Source organism: Homo sapiens, chromosome 4 (assembly GCF_000001405.40).
Source record: "Homo sapiens chromosome 4, GRCh38.p14 Primary Assembly".
In the NCBI taxonomy this organism is placed as follows: Eukaryota; Metazoa; Chordata; class Mammalia; order Primates; family Hominidae; genus Homo; species Homo sapiens.
The window spans coordinates 84,622,673-84,639,002 of NC_000004.12; the positions used below are offsets into that span (position 1 = coordinate 84,622,673).

The window sequence follows — 16,330 nt, forward strand, 5'->3', positions numbered from 1 at the left end:
AGTTTTCAAACTGAATTTCAAAAGAATTATGATGTAAACAGCAACCCTGCACCCCACCGCTTTGAGAGTTTTTCCTTTTCTGTAAGTAATAGGCCTGTTTCTTAGTTTACTTTAGGCATTATCTATTCACTTCCTGTTATAACCTACTTTACTTCTTCATATTCAGTTTTTTTATAGTAATAGTTAGCATTAAGTAGGTACCTAAAATATCACTTCCTGTAGAGCCAAATAGTATCTATGATTACATTTCCTTCTTTTACAACTTTTTGTTTTTCCCGAACTTGAGGAACTGCCTCACCTTCTCTTTCCCATATTTGCTAATTTCAGTGTAGAAATCCTTAATTTTTCCTTTAGGTTTGACCCATGTCTGTTGGTAGTATTTTCAGATGTTTACACAAGTCAGATAGTATATCAATTGCCTTTTTTCATGGAGACTTCTGTGCCAGAGACCTCTGCATTCCTGTTCCTGTGTGAGCTGGCTGCATATGGGCCCACTGCTGAGCTGTCCTCATGATTTGAGCCGGTTTCTTCCATCCCAGTCTTCCATCTCTTAGTTAACACCCTCACTTTGCTGAAGCATGGCCTGCTGTAGTTTCTTATGAAATGATGTGTAGAAGGTAGTTGTCTTATGTTTGTGCATTTCTAAAGATATCTTTAGTCTATTCTTACAGCTGATTGCTTTGGCTAGGGCTCACACTTATTGTTGGACTTTTACTTAATAATCCAGGTCAGAAGCCTAGGCCTCAGTCTTGCCTTCCACCGGGCCCTTTCTCCTTAGTTTCTGTAGAAAATACGTTTAGGCACCTGTAATTTCTCAGGCCTACTAACAGTTTTCTATCTGTTTTCTAGCTTCCAAATTTTGTAGACATGTTTCTTCTTTTCTCCTTCACATTTCTTCAGTTTTCTCTGTTCTTGTGGGGCTTCCCCTTAATTTATTTTAATGTTATTTTGCAGGGATACCAGGATGGAATACAAACTATCATTTAAAAACAAAAAGCCTTAACTAGTTTTATTTTTCCCTTGGCTTAGAACAATTTGTTATTTTTGCTCACAGTCCTGCGGATTGGCGGGCTTAACTTAGCCGTTCTAACCCCAGGCCTCTCACGTGGTTGCCATGAGACAGAGGCGGGTGCTCATGTCTTGAGTGGGCTGGACATCAAAGATGGCTCCTTTTCATGACTGCAGTTCGTGCCGCTTGCTGACTTGGGCACTGACCTGTGGCCCCTCCATGTGGCTTGGATGGGACAGGCAGCCCGGGTTCTGAATGGGGAGCATGCCAGGAGCCAGGTGTTTCAAGAGGCCTAAACTAGTTTTTTTTGCTGGGCGCAGTGGCTCACACCTATAATCCCAGCACTTTGAGAGGCCGAGGCAGGCGGATCACAAGGTCAGGAAATCGAGACCATCCTGGCTAACACGGTGGAACCCCGTCTCTACTAAAAATACAAAAAAAAATTAGCTGGGCGTGGTGGTGGGCGCCTATAGTCCCAGCTACTTGGGAGGCTGAGGCGGGAGAATGGCATGAACCTGGGTGGCGGAACTTGCAGTGAGCCAAGATCCTGCCACTGCACTCCAGCCTGGGAGACAGAGCAAGACTCTGTCTCAAAAAAAAAAAAACAAACAAAAAAAAAAAAACTAGTTTTTTTTTTTAAATGAAAATATATGCCCATGATAAAAATTTAGACTAGAAAGGAGTATTCCATGAAATCCTCCTCCACCTCAGTGCCTTACTTACGATATCTGGAGGCTTACTACTGTTATTCCAGAAATTGTCTGAGTATTCAAGCTTTTATGTTTATATCCCCCCTCCCTTTTTCTTATGCAAGTAAGAGTATCTCTTCTGTACCATTTTTCCACTTCATATATTAATAGCTTATAGATGGATTTATATTGGCACATCTACATCTATCATTGTATCCATATCTGCAGTTACATCTATATTGATATACAGCAATAGCTGAGAGGTAGAATGTCAGCATATAAGGTGATTACTGTTTTCCCCTTTGGTTTTGCTATAATTTATGCTTGAGAATAACATCTCAATTGAGTGTGGACCGATAGTGTAGTTCATTTTCTTTGTTGTTTCTTTTTATATATTTTGTCTTTCATAGCCTCCTAACCAGCCCCTTTTTAGTAATTCTTTGTTCCATATATGACTTTTTGGACTCTACTTCTATAAAATACAATCAATGTTGTGTCTTTTTTTTTTGAAACACAGTCTCACTCCATTGCCCAGGCTGGAGTGCAGTGGCGCGATCTCGGCTCATGGCAACCTCTGCCTCCTGGGTTCAGGTGATTCTCATGCCTCAGCCTCCCAAGTAGCTGGGACTACAGGCATGCGCTACTGTGCCTGGCTAATTTTTGTATTTTTAGTAGAGATGGAGTTTCACTATGTTGCTCAGGCTGGTGTCTAACTCCTGAGATCAAGTGATCCTCCTGCCTTGATCTCCAAAAGTGCTGGGATTATGGGCATGAGCCACCATGTCTGGCCTGGTATTTCTTCATTTTTCTAACCGTATACTTATTTCTGCCATAGACATGTTTTACCATTTCTTATTTTACACTCTTAGAATCACAGAAACTTACTGAAAGTCATCAAAGTCATTCTTAGAGCAAACATTTCAGTGTTTTCCAAAAGCTAGATACTGTGAATGATGTTGAGGATATAAAGGGAGATGAAGTGATTGTGTGCTTTCCAGGGTCTTGAAATTGGTAAGATGTGAGTCTTCTAGTTCATTGCTGAAATGTGAACAAGTCCTGTCAGGAGCATGAAGAAGAGGAAGGAAGGCCATGGAAGGCCTTTGAGAAGAGATGACAGGTTTCATGAAAAGGAAAGAGCAAGCAGGCAGTTGCCAGGTATCGTATAGTAGAAAAGTCCATTCCAGGCGGAGGAACAGCTGTGCAGGCATGAGAATGAGAAAGGATTGCATGTTTTGGGTTCATGGAGGCATTGAAGATAGGGAAGGTAGGTAGGAGCCACATCTTAAGAAAATCTGTATGTCATGGGAAAGGTTTGGACTTTATATCTGGGAAAACATTGGAGGATTTTAAGCTAAGAAATGATATAACCAGATTTGTAATTAAATGAAGTAGGTTGGGAGACATGATCAGGCAGACTAGATAGGAAGTTACTACTGTAATCCACACTAAATGTAGTAATGACCTAAACTCTTCTGGTTTGTAGTTAATACTAAATGAGTAATAAGTTAGAAAATAGGCCGGGCGCGGTGGCTCATGCCTGTAATCCTAGCACTTTGGGAGGCTGAGGTGGGTGGATCACGTGAGGTCAAGAGTTCAAGACCAGCCTGACCAAAATGGAGAAACCCCATCTCTACTAAAAATACAAAATTAGCCGGGCGTGGTGGTGCATGCCTGTAATCCCAGCTACTCGGGAGGCTGACGCAGGGGAATCCCTTGAACCCAGGAGGTGGAGGTTGCGGTGAGCCGAGATCATGCCATTCCACTCCAGCCTGGGCAACAAGAGCGAAACTCCATTTCAAAAAAAACAAACAAACAAACAAAAAAAACATAGAAAATAAAAATACCACAGGCTGATCGTAGAACCCAACTGCTATTTTATGACAGTCTATGAAAAGTTGTTTATATATCACAAGTTATTGGCTTAAAATGCACTTCTTTGTTGCAATAATTGCATATTCACATGCAGTTGTAAGAAATAATAGATCTTTTTACACTTTGCTCAGTTATCACCAATGATAGTATTTTGCAAAATTATAGTACATCACACCAGGATATTGACATCATTACAGTCACACAAATGTACTTTTTGTTTGTTATTTTGAGACAGGATCTCACTATTTTCCCAGGCTGGTCTTGAATTCCTGGACTCAACTTACCCTTCTGCCTCAGACTCCTTGGTAGCTGGGATTACAGGCGTGTATTACCACGCCCAGCTCTACAGATATACTTTAAAAATGCAACCTCATAGTAAGCTAGGAGCTACTCAGTTAAATGATGTAACTTCCAGTATAAAACAGGCATAGAATACTATATGTCTATTATCATTTTAAGCGTTGCCTAAAAATGGCTCGGTTAGACCAAAAGCACCCATGGTGTACCTCTCTTGTTTATTTAATTCCCAGAGCGCAGTGCAGGCCTGGCATTGAGGGTCCGACTATGTATTTGTTGGATAAACGATTAAGAGGCTGAGAACATGCACATCCACACACAGTGCTTCTTAATGATATTTTCTTAGTATCAGTGTTTTGTTTGCTGAGTCTTGAGGCCTTAGTGGCTACTCTTGAAGTGCTTAGCAACATTTGTGAGCTTAGTCTAGCAAATGGAGTTAGACTTTGAAACAGGACTATGGAAATAGAAAGTATGCTAACATTGAGATATTTGTACCTTTCTTTCAAATTATGTTGTAGAAATCTTTGGAATCCAAGTCTTTCTGTTAAACAATATTCCAAGTGCCCTGTGAAAATTTTAGTTCTATTACAGTGGTCAAATGACTTCAGAAAATGTATGTCTTACCAGATTTAAAAAGCAGAGACAGTTCAAATTACTTCATTGACATTGAATTTTATTTAAATAAAATGTAGGTATCTCCAATTCTGACCCCCTCATGGAGGTCCATGAAATTAAATGACTTGTTTAATATTATACAAAATGTCTCACTGACTAGGACCTAGAAGTCATATTGACATTTAGATAATTTTGTTGCAAAATGAGTTTGACTGATAGCAGAGAAAATCAGGGAGACTAAAAATAATAAAACAAACGTTTTCTCTAGAGTCTAGATATATATTAAAAAGAACTCATCAACTTGGTGATTTGGAATTGGGGCTCTTTAGAAACCAGAGCAGTCATGCAATTATATGGTTAGCAGTGATGTGTAAACAGACTTAAGGTGTTTGACCCTTAATATCATCACCTTACATTTCTTTATCCAACTATAGTGATGTGCATATTATATTTAATAAATTATTTTTTGCTTGTATTTGTGCATGCATAGCTATTTTGATTTCTTTAAAGTTCTTATGGAGATAATATGACTTGAATATAATGCTTTGAGTCCAAGAAAATTGATGGACATATAAAACTAAGTTATAGCCAAAATTAATGCATAATTAAGATGTTTTCCCCAAACATCCTGAGTATCTTTTATATCAGAGGATATTAATGAAATCTTTAGAAAAGTGTCACAAATAATTCACAAAGGACTGTATCTCCAAAACTACTTAAAATTTCTGAATTAAAGACTGCTAAACACTATACACATGCTAGTATTGGTTCTAAACCTTAGACTAACCATTCAGATTAATAGAAAACTTTTTAAAATGTTAACTAATATGATGATTGGTTTGTATGGTAATCTCCACGATGCATATTCATTTAAAACTTTTTCAGAACAACTCAGTTATAGCCTGGTGTCTGAATAAAGGCACACAATGCAGTGTGATTTTGAATTTATTTAATTTGATGCTAGAAAGTTTTGATGGTTTAGGCAAGTATAATGAAGAATATAACCAAGCGGAAGAATGGGGGATGAGTCAGAAGCTTTAGTATTCAATCTTGGGCCCATCCTACTGTCTGCTTTTTGAATTAAGGGCTATATGTGTTTACTAAATTTTGACTAATCATCAATGGTAAATTTTAAAAACAACTTTATTTTTTCTTTGTTTTTGGTGTCTTCAACAAGAGCAAGAGCTCCTGAATGGCAGTGCCTATCTTATTCATTTTTGCATCTTGTTTCTGGCATATCGAAGGTGCTTGATAAATATTTTTTTATCTATTTTTCTGAAATTCCCTCTGTCTCATCTATTGGGCTTTTCGGTGTCTTGTGTTTTTTCCTTTACTTTTCCTGACCCCCTTAAAAATCTTCATCCTCTTCTTCTTCCTTTTTAAAGAAATTTTTAAAGAGATGGTGACTTGCTTTGTGGTCCAGGCTGGAGTATAGTAGCTTGATCATAGCTCACTGCAGCCTCAAACTCCTGGGCTCAAGTGATCCTCCAGCCTCAGCCTTTCAAGTAGCTGGGACTGCAGGTGTGTGCTGTCCTGCTCAGCTAATTTTTACTTTTATTTCATAGAGACAGGATCCTGCTGTGTTGCACAGGCTGGTCTTGAACTCATGGCCTCAAGCAGTCCTCCTTCCTTGGCCTCCCAAGGTGTTGGGATTACAGGCATGGGACACTGCACCTGGATTCTCTTGTTATTTTTGAATACACCTCTCTTTAGTTTGTTGGGTAACTGGTTCTGCTTAATGACTGGAGAACTCTTTGATGCTGGGCAACGAGATGTACGTATCTTTGTATTGAGAACACCAGGCACAATACTATGTAGATAAATGATGATAAGTATAACTTTTATATAAAGAACTATATATTAGGAGGCCTTTTCAGTACTTTTATTTATACTACTACAACACATTCTGTGATTTTAATTTAGAAATAGTTATACAAGCATTCTTTGTTAATCAGGGAAAAAACCTATGGATCCAATTGTACAAAAAGTGACCGTTTCCACAGATTTATTAACATATAAATGTATTTTTAAGTATTTAAACATAAAATGTTAATATATCCATATAGTTGTGAATGAGAAAGATTAAGTTCATATGTTTCTCTTTTACAATGTTTTTCTTTAAAAAATAATACACAGTTGGCCCTCCTATATCCATGGGTTTTGCATCTCTGGAGTCAACCAACTGTGGATTGAAAATACTCTGAAAAAAAAAAAAAAACCACAATGGATGGTTGTGTCTTTATTGAACATGTATAGGCTTGTTTCTTGTCATTATCCCCTGAAAAATACAGTCTAACAATTATTTATATAGAATTTACATTGTATTAGGAATTATAAGTAATCTAGAAATGATTTAAGATACACAGGAGGATGTAAGTAGGTTATATGCAAATACTATACCATTTTATATAAGGGACTTGAGCATCCATGGATTTTTGTCCTTTGGGGATCCTGCAACCAATCACCCAGGGATACTGAGAGATGACTATATTTAGCCTCAGCTATGCTAGGAAAACACTTTATACCTCCCCCTTCCTCTAAGTCAGAGAACTGTATTATCTTACTGTATCTAGGAGTCAGACAATTGTATCCCATAGGTGAAATTGGATTATGTAAACGTGAGTTGCCAAGGTTGTCCTGGATAAAATGTCCATTAGGAAAATGTTAAATGATTCTACTGGTAATTGTGTTTGAAGAAATGTAAGTAAGGGTGAATGGTGTTATCATTTCAAGAAAGAGAAAATCATGTATTTTGGAGTAGTATTTGTGAGTAGATAATTCATAGTTAATGATATTGAGAAGTTCCCAAGGCTGTGCTGGGAGAGTCAAGGGGTCTGTTTGGACAGAAAACATGGTTTCTGTCTTGTGTCTCTGCTTTGCCCCTTACCCATTGGCTTTGAACCGAGTCCAGTCCACGTTTGCCTTTAACCACGGATCAGTGGCACAAAAACAGCATAGAAATTATGTTATTACTTGAGCTTCAAGATAAGTCTACCTGCTGTAGAAGAAAAACTCAAAAGCAGGAATTTTTAAAGGAATCTTTCATACAATTGGTAATTTTGATGCCATTAATTTCATGTTTTAGTATCTCTCTCTCTCTCATTCTTTCTCTCTTTCCTTTCTCTCAATAAAGTGACATAATGGCTTTCATTTGTGCCTCCACTCAGAAAATGTGTCCCTATTGCTTGTGCAGGCCAGTTAGTTGGATTACCTCATAGATGACAAATAGGAGGTGAGATAGGATTGGGGTCAGTATTCATTCTCTTCATTTTGTCATGGTCCTTTATGCTTTGGCATTTCAAATTGATCACCAAAAGTAGCGAAAGGCAGCTGCTGTTTGATTCTTTGCTTGGTGAGAGTAGTAATACCCTTGTTTACTCTACTGGTAGAATTGCCTTGATAAGTATAACTTGGATGTACAAAGTCTAGTATTTATACAGAAATTGATCAACTGAAAATTCAATTTCTCTCTTGGAGAACTCACTCTTTAAAGATACTGCAGAGGCTGGGTACAGTGGCTCACACCTGTAATCTTGATACTTTGGAAGACCAAGGTGGGAGGATCGCTTGAGGCCAGGAGTTCAAGGCTGCAGTGAGCTGTGATTGTGCCACTGCATTCCAGGCTGAGCCATAGAGCGACACTTGACTCAAAAAAGAAAAAAAAAGGATGTTGCAGAATAGAATGCATACATAGCCATTTATCTGAAATTAAATTTGGTTTATATATTTTCAATATCCACCTCTGTAAAATAAACCTATCTTTAGACGTTTACTGGTATTTTTGGCAAGAAGTGATTCATATTGCCTCCCATTATTTTAGTATATGATTACTAGATTTCACTTAATTGGTTAGAATTTAATAAATTATCATTGTAATAAATTTGTAAAATGTAAACATAAATACATATACTGTTTGTAAATCTTTACATTATTAAGAGTATTACATTTTACTATAATTATTGTATGCTTTTGAGAAATTGCAAATTGTTCTTAACCTGAATTTTGCTGATCTCAGTTCATGGAACCACGTGACTCTTAAGGGTCAATAGGATTTTAGTGTTTATTTTCTAGCCCTGTGATCCTCAGTAAATTATTAAAGCCCTTTGTGCATTTTTCCTCATCTGTAAAATGGAGCTAAAAATGAGTACCTATATTATAGGAATTTTGAAAGGATTAAATCAGTTGGTAATAAAGGATCATCATTAAAGATAAAATGCTTAGATAAGAGCCTAGAAAGAGTAAGCATTCAATAGACTTTAGCTGTTATAATAGTTATTATTAATTTTTCTATTATGTAGAGATTGAAAACATTCTGTACATACACTTGATGCATTGTTATAGCAAATAAATACTATTTAATTTAAATTTAAGATCTGTTTTCCATGCCCACATATTAGCAGGGGACTAATTAATTGAATTAATGCAGAGGATGTTTATTGAATTTGTGCCATGGAATGTATTAGGCACTTTGGAGAGTACAAGATTGTTTCCCTCAAGAAACTTACTTTAAATGCTTAATGTAAGATAGTAGGAGAGATGGCATCTGAGTAAGTAGCTAAAATATGCCTAGCTGTGATACAGCAAATTGGTTTATTTGGGCTCAAGGAATCTTAACCCTTTGTACCAAATTGTACAACGAGCACATGTTTTTTGTTCTTGAACAGGTTTCTGCATGTTTGTACTGAGTTTGGTGAAGAAACATTATCGTCTGCAGTTTTATATGGTGTGTATTAACTATTATTCCTTAGTCATTATCTGTGATAAAAACCCTTAACTTTTTTTTTTCTGTAGTGAGAAGATACAGTCGAATCTGCTAGCTGTTGTTTTGCATGAATGTGAGGGATACTTGGATTTCAGATGACCATTAGATATAAACTATTAAAGTTGAGAAGTTTGTGAGGATTTTAAAATTTTAACTGTTTTCAAAGTTTACTAAAAACTTTTTCTTTGAATATTTTCAAATGGTGTAAAATTAAAGTTTTTGGGTTCCTTAAATTTGTAGAAATTTGAAGAATTTTCTTAGTCTCCTGGACAGTTACTATGTCTGAGAAACATCTACCATATTGTTCTATGAAAGTAACTATGTTTACTTGCACTTGGCGTGCGCATAAAGCAGCAGAGCATGTATTATCTTGGTGGTTATGGTTAGTCATAGAATTGTGTAATTCTTTTTGGCATAAGATATTTTGTTCAATGTACCAAAGCCTGTCTTAAGAAATGTATCACTTTACATATGAACTTTTTTTATTTTCTTAAACTGTAGCTAGTACAACTGTACAATGCAATGTAGTATTCAGATCTGTAAATTCATGTGATAGTGAGGCTTATTTTGGACTTGGAATATATTTTCTGTTCTTTATGCTTAGCTTTTCTCCATTAAGACATTCTGCTGAACATAATTGCTGGGAAATTGTTGTGTTTCTTGTATTTCTAATTTAAGGGAATCTGAGCATGAAGAGTAAAATTCTTAGTGAATTTTATATAGAAACAAGACAAGTAAAAATAGTAGAATATCCAGTGAAAATGTAAATGGCATCTATTGGAAAAAATTTAATTAATGCATTTTTAAGCAATCAGAGTAAAAGAGAATTGGATCTTTCAAGCAGATAAAAATAGAATAAAATAGAGCAACCAATATAATATGGTTGCTTAAATGGGAAACAGGTTTATTAAGAATAAATCAAAAGGCCAAGCGCCGATGGCTCATGCCTGTAATCGCAACACTTTGGGAGGCCAAGGCAGGCGGATACCTTGAGCCCAGGAGTTTGAGACCAGTCTGGGCAACCTGGCAATACCCCATTTCTACAAAGAATATGAAAATTAACCGGGCGTGGTGGCACACACCTGTAGTCCCAGCTACTGGGGAGGCTGAGGCAGGAGGATCACTTGAACCTGGGAGGTCAAGGCTGCAGTGAGCTGTGATCACACCACTGCACTCCAGCCTGGGTGACAGAGTGAGACCCTATCTCAAGGGTGGGGGTCCAGGGAGAATAAATCAAAATCTTAAGAATTTTTAAAAGTAATTTTATGAATTTCAATCAAAATCATAAGACTCGTACATGGAAACCATATTGATTATATTAAAAGTGGCCATCTCTCAGGCTAGATAGAATTGGCAAAACACAAAGGTCTTTAAAAATTTGAAATTGAATACTGTCATTGAACAGACCTGTCACGATCACCCTTCAAGTATGAAAGATAGAGTTTAAGGGCAATTGAACCCTGCTGGTTTGAATCATTTGAAGTTGGAAATAACTCTTTATGGGAAAAAGTTACCGTAATAAACTCTGAAAGAAAAGGAATTTTTTAGCATTTTGTTAATAACTGCAGAATGCAGCCAGAGTAAAATGTTCCCCTTTAAATGTTGTTAAACCAGCAACAGAAATCTCTCATCATCACTTAAATCTAATGATTCAAGATAATGGTTTATTTTTTATATGTTTTAAAAGTTAGTACTATATAATTAGAATTCTATTTATATATAAATTAAGGTTACTTTGTTAAATGTTTTCATTATTTTAAGGTTCCAGTAGGCAACAAAACAAACATAATTTACTAACAGTGTTTTTATTTTATATGACTCTAACTTGTACATTTTGACCAAAAGTCATGGTAGAAATTTGGGTTTCAAATCGCTGTTGCTTCTTCAGCTGCACTGATCAGTTGTGTTCACTAATTTTTGTATTGTTGGGCTATTAACAGTTCGCATGGACTCATGTCACTTTACTGATAACTGTCACTCAGTCACACCTTGTCATCCAAAATCTGTTTGAAGGCATGATATGGTAAGGCAACAGAATTATGCTGCTTTATAAGTATGTCATAGCACTTTTATAGTTCTTTAACGTTGGATAGTGTCTTACAGATTTCTACTAAAATGTACTGTTTGTTGTTCTTATATTCCATTAAACTATCTTACTGAGTTTTGCTTACTCTTTGACAACTAAAGACAAAATGCTTCATTAACAACTGGATACCATTCTTATTCAAGTTCCAAATATAGGAAGTTCCCATAAAAGACCCAAAAAATTAATTACATTTTCAGGTGTTAATAAATCCTAGTGTAACTTTTCACAAAAGACAGACTTTAAATATAATATTTATTAAGATATTATTTACATAGAATGCAAAAAAATATAAAACTTTGCCTACTAGTAACTACTGTGAAGAAATGCATGTTTTTCTAGGTGAAAGTTGGGTAGGTTTTCTACTTTGCTCCTGTGTAGGAGTGGGTTTCCAGATTGTAGAAGTTAATTGCTCTATGGCAGTGGCTTGCATATTCAGAAAGCATTTTTGTTAGGTAAAAATTATAAAACTTATTACTTAAAAATTAGTTGGAATGGAGAAAAAGCTTAAGATTAAAAAAAAATCTGACTGTATTTTTCCCCCACTCATTTAAAACTCATTAATTAAAATCTTTTACAGTTGATGGGTTTTGTCAAGATAAATTGTATTCCCTTGACAGCTTTATGTCTTTTTACCAAGGGTGTGGTTGTGTCTTTGTGTGTGTGTGTCTCTGTGTGTATGTGCGTGTGTAAAGTAATTGGAATCATTTTAAGATTGTCTTTCATGTATTGTACAGACTTTTCATTGATGGGGCAGTTACTGAAGTAAGTAGGTTCTGTACATTCAGTAGGGTTTACTGAAATCATAAGCTAAGATAGAATTAAAATTAATAATTGAGAATATGTATTAAGAGCTTGATATAAATTTATCAGATTATGTTCTGTCTAAAGAAATGACTCATTTTCATATTAAAAGGCTGGTTTTCTTAAGATTAGCTTTCAGTCTGCCTTTTATTTTTTATTGTAACATGTTCCTCATAAAACTAAAATGAAAACATCCATAACTGTAGAAATCAATAATTTAATATTTTCCTAGCATGCTAGTTTATTTTTAGATTTTGCTCTGTTTAAATTGGTAAGTGGGCAAATTTGGTTGATATTTATCATTTCTACTGTTTTGGCAAGTGTTATGTTCTGGGTAGGCTGCAGTGCAATCCAAAGGGTTATTCTGATGGTTCATTATGAATCATAACCTTTCCGAATATCTGCCACTTACTCAGGTGAACTTTTTTCTGCTGACTTTTTTTTTTTTTTTTAAAAACAGGTTCCTTGTTCCAATATCAAGTGTTATCTGCAATGACATAACTGCTTACCTTTTTGGATTTTTTTTTGGGAGAACTCCATTAATTAAGGTAATGGAAAAATTTTATAAGCAAGCCACTATGTAACCTTAAAGATTAGCCACTGGAGAACATTTCCAACAACTGTGCTGTTGTGCATTTTTTATTTTTGAGGTGCTTTGATTTTCCTTAGCTGCATGGTGCAGAAGCAGCAAACCATATTTCTCAGTACTTCCATCTGGGTTCTTCATCAGCTCTTCTGTTGGCTCCTCAGGAAGGGCATGACTCCATCAGTCTGCCTGCCTGCCTGCCTGCCTGCCTGCCTGCCTGCCTGCCTGCCTGCCTGCCTTCCTTCCTTCCTTCCTTCCTTCCTTCCTTCCTTCCTTCCTTCCTTCCTTCCTTCCTTCCTTCCCTCCTTCCCTCCCTCCCTCCCTCCCTCCCTTTTCATCTTCATTTTATCTTTATGTGGTTTCTTTTCTTTCCTTTTTTTTTTTGAAGATGGGGTCTTGCTTTGCCACCCAGGCTGGAGTACAGTGGTGCTACCATGGCTCACTGCAGCTTCCACCTCCCAGGCTCTAGCAATCTTCCCACCTCAGCCTCCCGAGTAGCTGGGGCTTCAGGTGCATGCCACCACACCCGGCTAATTTTTGTATTTTTGGTAGAGACAGAGTCTTGCCATGTTGTTCAGGCTTGTCCCAAACTCCTAGGCTCAAGCAGTCTGCCCATTTCAGCCTCCCAAAGTACTGGGATTAAAGGCGTGAGCCACCGCCCCTGGGCTCTGTGGTTTTTTCTCTCGGCCATTGGTGCAGTTCTTCTTTATCCTCCTTTCCAGCAAGCCTATACACAAGCCTTTTCCTTGACTCTCCTCTCCCTTCAACCTGTCGCCTTACCTGTCCCCTCCTTTACCAAACTTTCTCAAAGAAGAGATTATATAATACACCTTCACATCCTCATATCCATTTGTGTGACTTTTCATATCCAAACTCATACCAAAAGAAGATTTTGGGGCCCTACAATAAAATACTAATAAAATACAAGTAATAATGAAAGGGAAAGGAAAATACACATGAGTAGACCATGTTGTTTTGCTATAGAATTGGTTCTATTTATGGGCAATGGTAAAGAAGGAAATGAACTAAATTACATAGTTCTCATTTGGGAGAAGAAATAAACTAATTCTTCATGGAAATCAAATCATTTTCTAGAACTGATTTCTTCTAAAAGAGCTCTTCTTTATTTTTGTTTAGTTTTTATTCGTTTTTGGAGACAAAGTCTCGCCCTGTCACCCAGTCTGTAGTGCAGTGGCGCAATCTGGGTTCACTGCAACCTCCGCCTCCTGGGTTCAAGTGATTCTCCTGCCTCAGCCTCCCAAGTATCTGGGATTACAGGCGGCTGCCACCATGCCTGGTTAATTTTAGTATTTTTAGTAGAGACAGGGTTTCACCATGTTGGCCAGGCTGGTCTAGAACTCCTGACCTCGAATGATCTACCTACCTCGGCCTCTGAAAGTGCTGGGATTACAGGCGTGAGCCACCACACCCGGCCTAAAAGAGCTTTTCATGTTGGAGTTTCAGATAAGATTCACACATTTCACATTATTGGGCAAAGTTTTTAATAATGTTCTCACAGACATATTATTACCTGGCTGTTTTGATATTGTTATATGAATGCAGTTTTGGAAGGACTGAGACAATTGTTCAGATATAAAGCCTTCTGTTTGTTCAGAGTGGTATGAGGGTAGTTTAGTATTACCAGAGGAATTTGTGGACTGCCTGTTCTTCCAAAAACCTCTGTAAACTCTTCCCCTCTTGGGGAGGAGCTCACAGAGAGCACCTGCTGAAAGCATCAGCACACAGAGAGTGTTGGGCTGAGCTGTATAAGGATACTGGTAAGCAAGCTGTATATTTTTAAAACGTTTCTAAAGCTGCTCCAGAGTTTCTAAAGCTTGAATACATGATTTACGTATTCAAGAGTTCTACCCAGACTGAGAAGTTTTCGGCTTGGGAAGCTGTATTAGTTCATTCTCACACTGCTATAAAGAAATGCCAGAGCTTTAATTGGCTTATGGTTCTGCAAGCTGTACAGGAAGCATGGCTGGGGAGGCCTCAGGAAACTTATGATCTTGGCGGAAGGGGAAGCAGGCACATCTTATATGGTCAGAGCAGGAGGAAGAGGGAGAGTGAGGAGGTGCCACAGACTTTTCAACAACCAGATATCATGAGAACTCATGGGACAGCAATAGGGGGATGGTGCTTAACCATTAGAAACCCCCTCCCTGACCCAGTCACTTCCCACCAGGCCCCACCTCCGACACTGAGGATTACAAGTGGACGTGACATTTGGGTGGAGACACAGATCCAAACCATATCAGAAGCCTTCAAAAAGGCTGTTATAGCTGTGGAAGAATATTAGCAACTGATTTTGAACACAGCCTTCTAGTGAATTTATCAGGCTGGATTAATTGTATAATATACTTAGATAATTGAACAGTTAACCCCTAAATCGATATGATATGCATCAATTTAATTTGATAAGCTATCTTTACAATAATCAGCAGGCACTTTTGAATTTGAGTCTGCTCCTACTTCATGGCAGTGATAGTGAATTACCCTAGGAGAAGGTGTGTCTGTCCCTTCTCTGTGGCAGAATTGTTATCAGATTTGTCAAGAAACCATTTCTGCCAACTGTTTTGGTTTGGGGCTTTATGAATATCAGGACAAGAAGTCTATGAAGAGCTCCTATAGGTTAACCCATAACCCATTTTAATACTTCAGAGACTTTATTCTGATATTTGGTTTCTGTCCCTCATTAATGACCTGATGACCAAATCCTCCCACACATCACAGTCTTTATCTCCCCTGAGCAACAACTTTCACTTTTTGCTCCTGAATCTTTTCCTCCTGCCCCAACACCACTAACTTCTAGATTTTTTTCCAGATTTCTTTCCATGAATGGTCCATTGACTGGGCAGCAATAGCCTGAATCCAACACAAACAATATCTCTTCTTTGAAGTGCAGCATGTTCCTTTCTTCTTGGAAATGGACATAGATTGTGAAAAAAGAGAGGATATGTCAATACTTGAGCAAATACAGTATCTGGGGCTCTGGAGTATTTTGCCATATCAGAAGGAAGTCTGTGTGTATATAGCATATTAGGAATATGTGAAAATTATATGTGCTAAAATGTCCATGTTTTGTTGTACTGATTCTATTTTTGGCCAATAGCAGGTCAATACTGACTGTGTGTACTTGGAATGAATACGTCTCATTCTTATTCCAAGAACTTACACCAACTATTATCAGGTTTTATATTAGCATAAGAGTCATGGGACAGTTATTTTAGTATAGAGTTTATACTCTTTTGAGAGACAGAACAAATTTAGACCATTTAACATGAACAAACACATATTCACAGCATTTCAAATATTTGAGGGCCTACTATGTGTTTAAATATTATTAGAGAGATTTTCACTAGTAAATCAAGATCAGAGAAAAGGAAAAAGGGTTTTGAACTATTCCAATAAGAGAAAAAGTAAGGAGAGATGTACAAGTTATTGAGGAAATAGTTTATATATATATATATATATATATTGTGAGTTTTGTGAGTGCAGTAAAGCTTTTTAATTTTATTTGCCCTTTTTTAGTTGTCTCCTAAAAAGACTTGGGAAGGATTCATTGGTGGTTTCTTTTCCACAGTTGTGTTTGGATTCATTGTGAGTATTA

At 37.1% G+C, this 16,330-nt stretch overlaps 1 protein-coding gene across 6 annotated transcripts in view; it reads left to right on the forward strand.

Annotated features, from left to right (window-relative positions):
- The window catches only part of CDS1 (CDP-diacylglycerol synthase 1), a 68,208-nt gene that overhangs the window by 39,546 nt on the left and 12,332 nt on the right, over window positions 1–16,330 (forward strand). For 3 of the 6 annotated variants that reach the window (NM_001263.4, XM_005262687.4, XM_017007650.3), the window contains exons 6-9: window positions 9,147–9,205; window positions 11,185–11,267; window positions 12,592–12,679; window positions 16,252–16,320. In NM_001263.4, coding sequence (NP_001254.2) covers window positions 9,147–9,205; window positions 11,185–11,267; window positions 12,592–12,679; window positions 16,252–16,320 — 299 coding nt within the window. The remainder of the gene's footprint in view (window positions 1–9,146; window positions 9,206–11,184; window positions 11,268–12,591; window positions 12,680–16,251; window positions 16,321–16,330) is intronic. The other 3 variants (XM_017007648.3, XM_017007649.3, XM_017007651.3) reach the window with 1 other exon arrangement.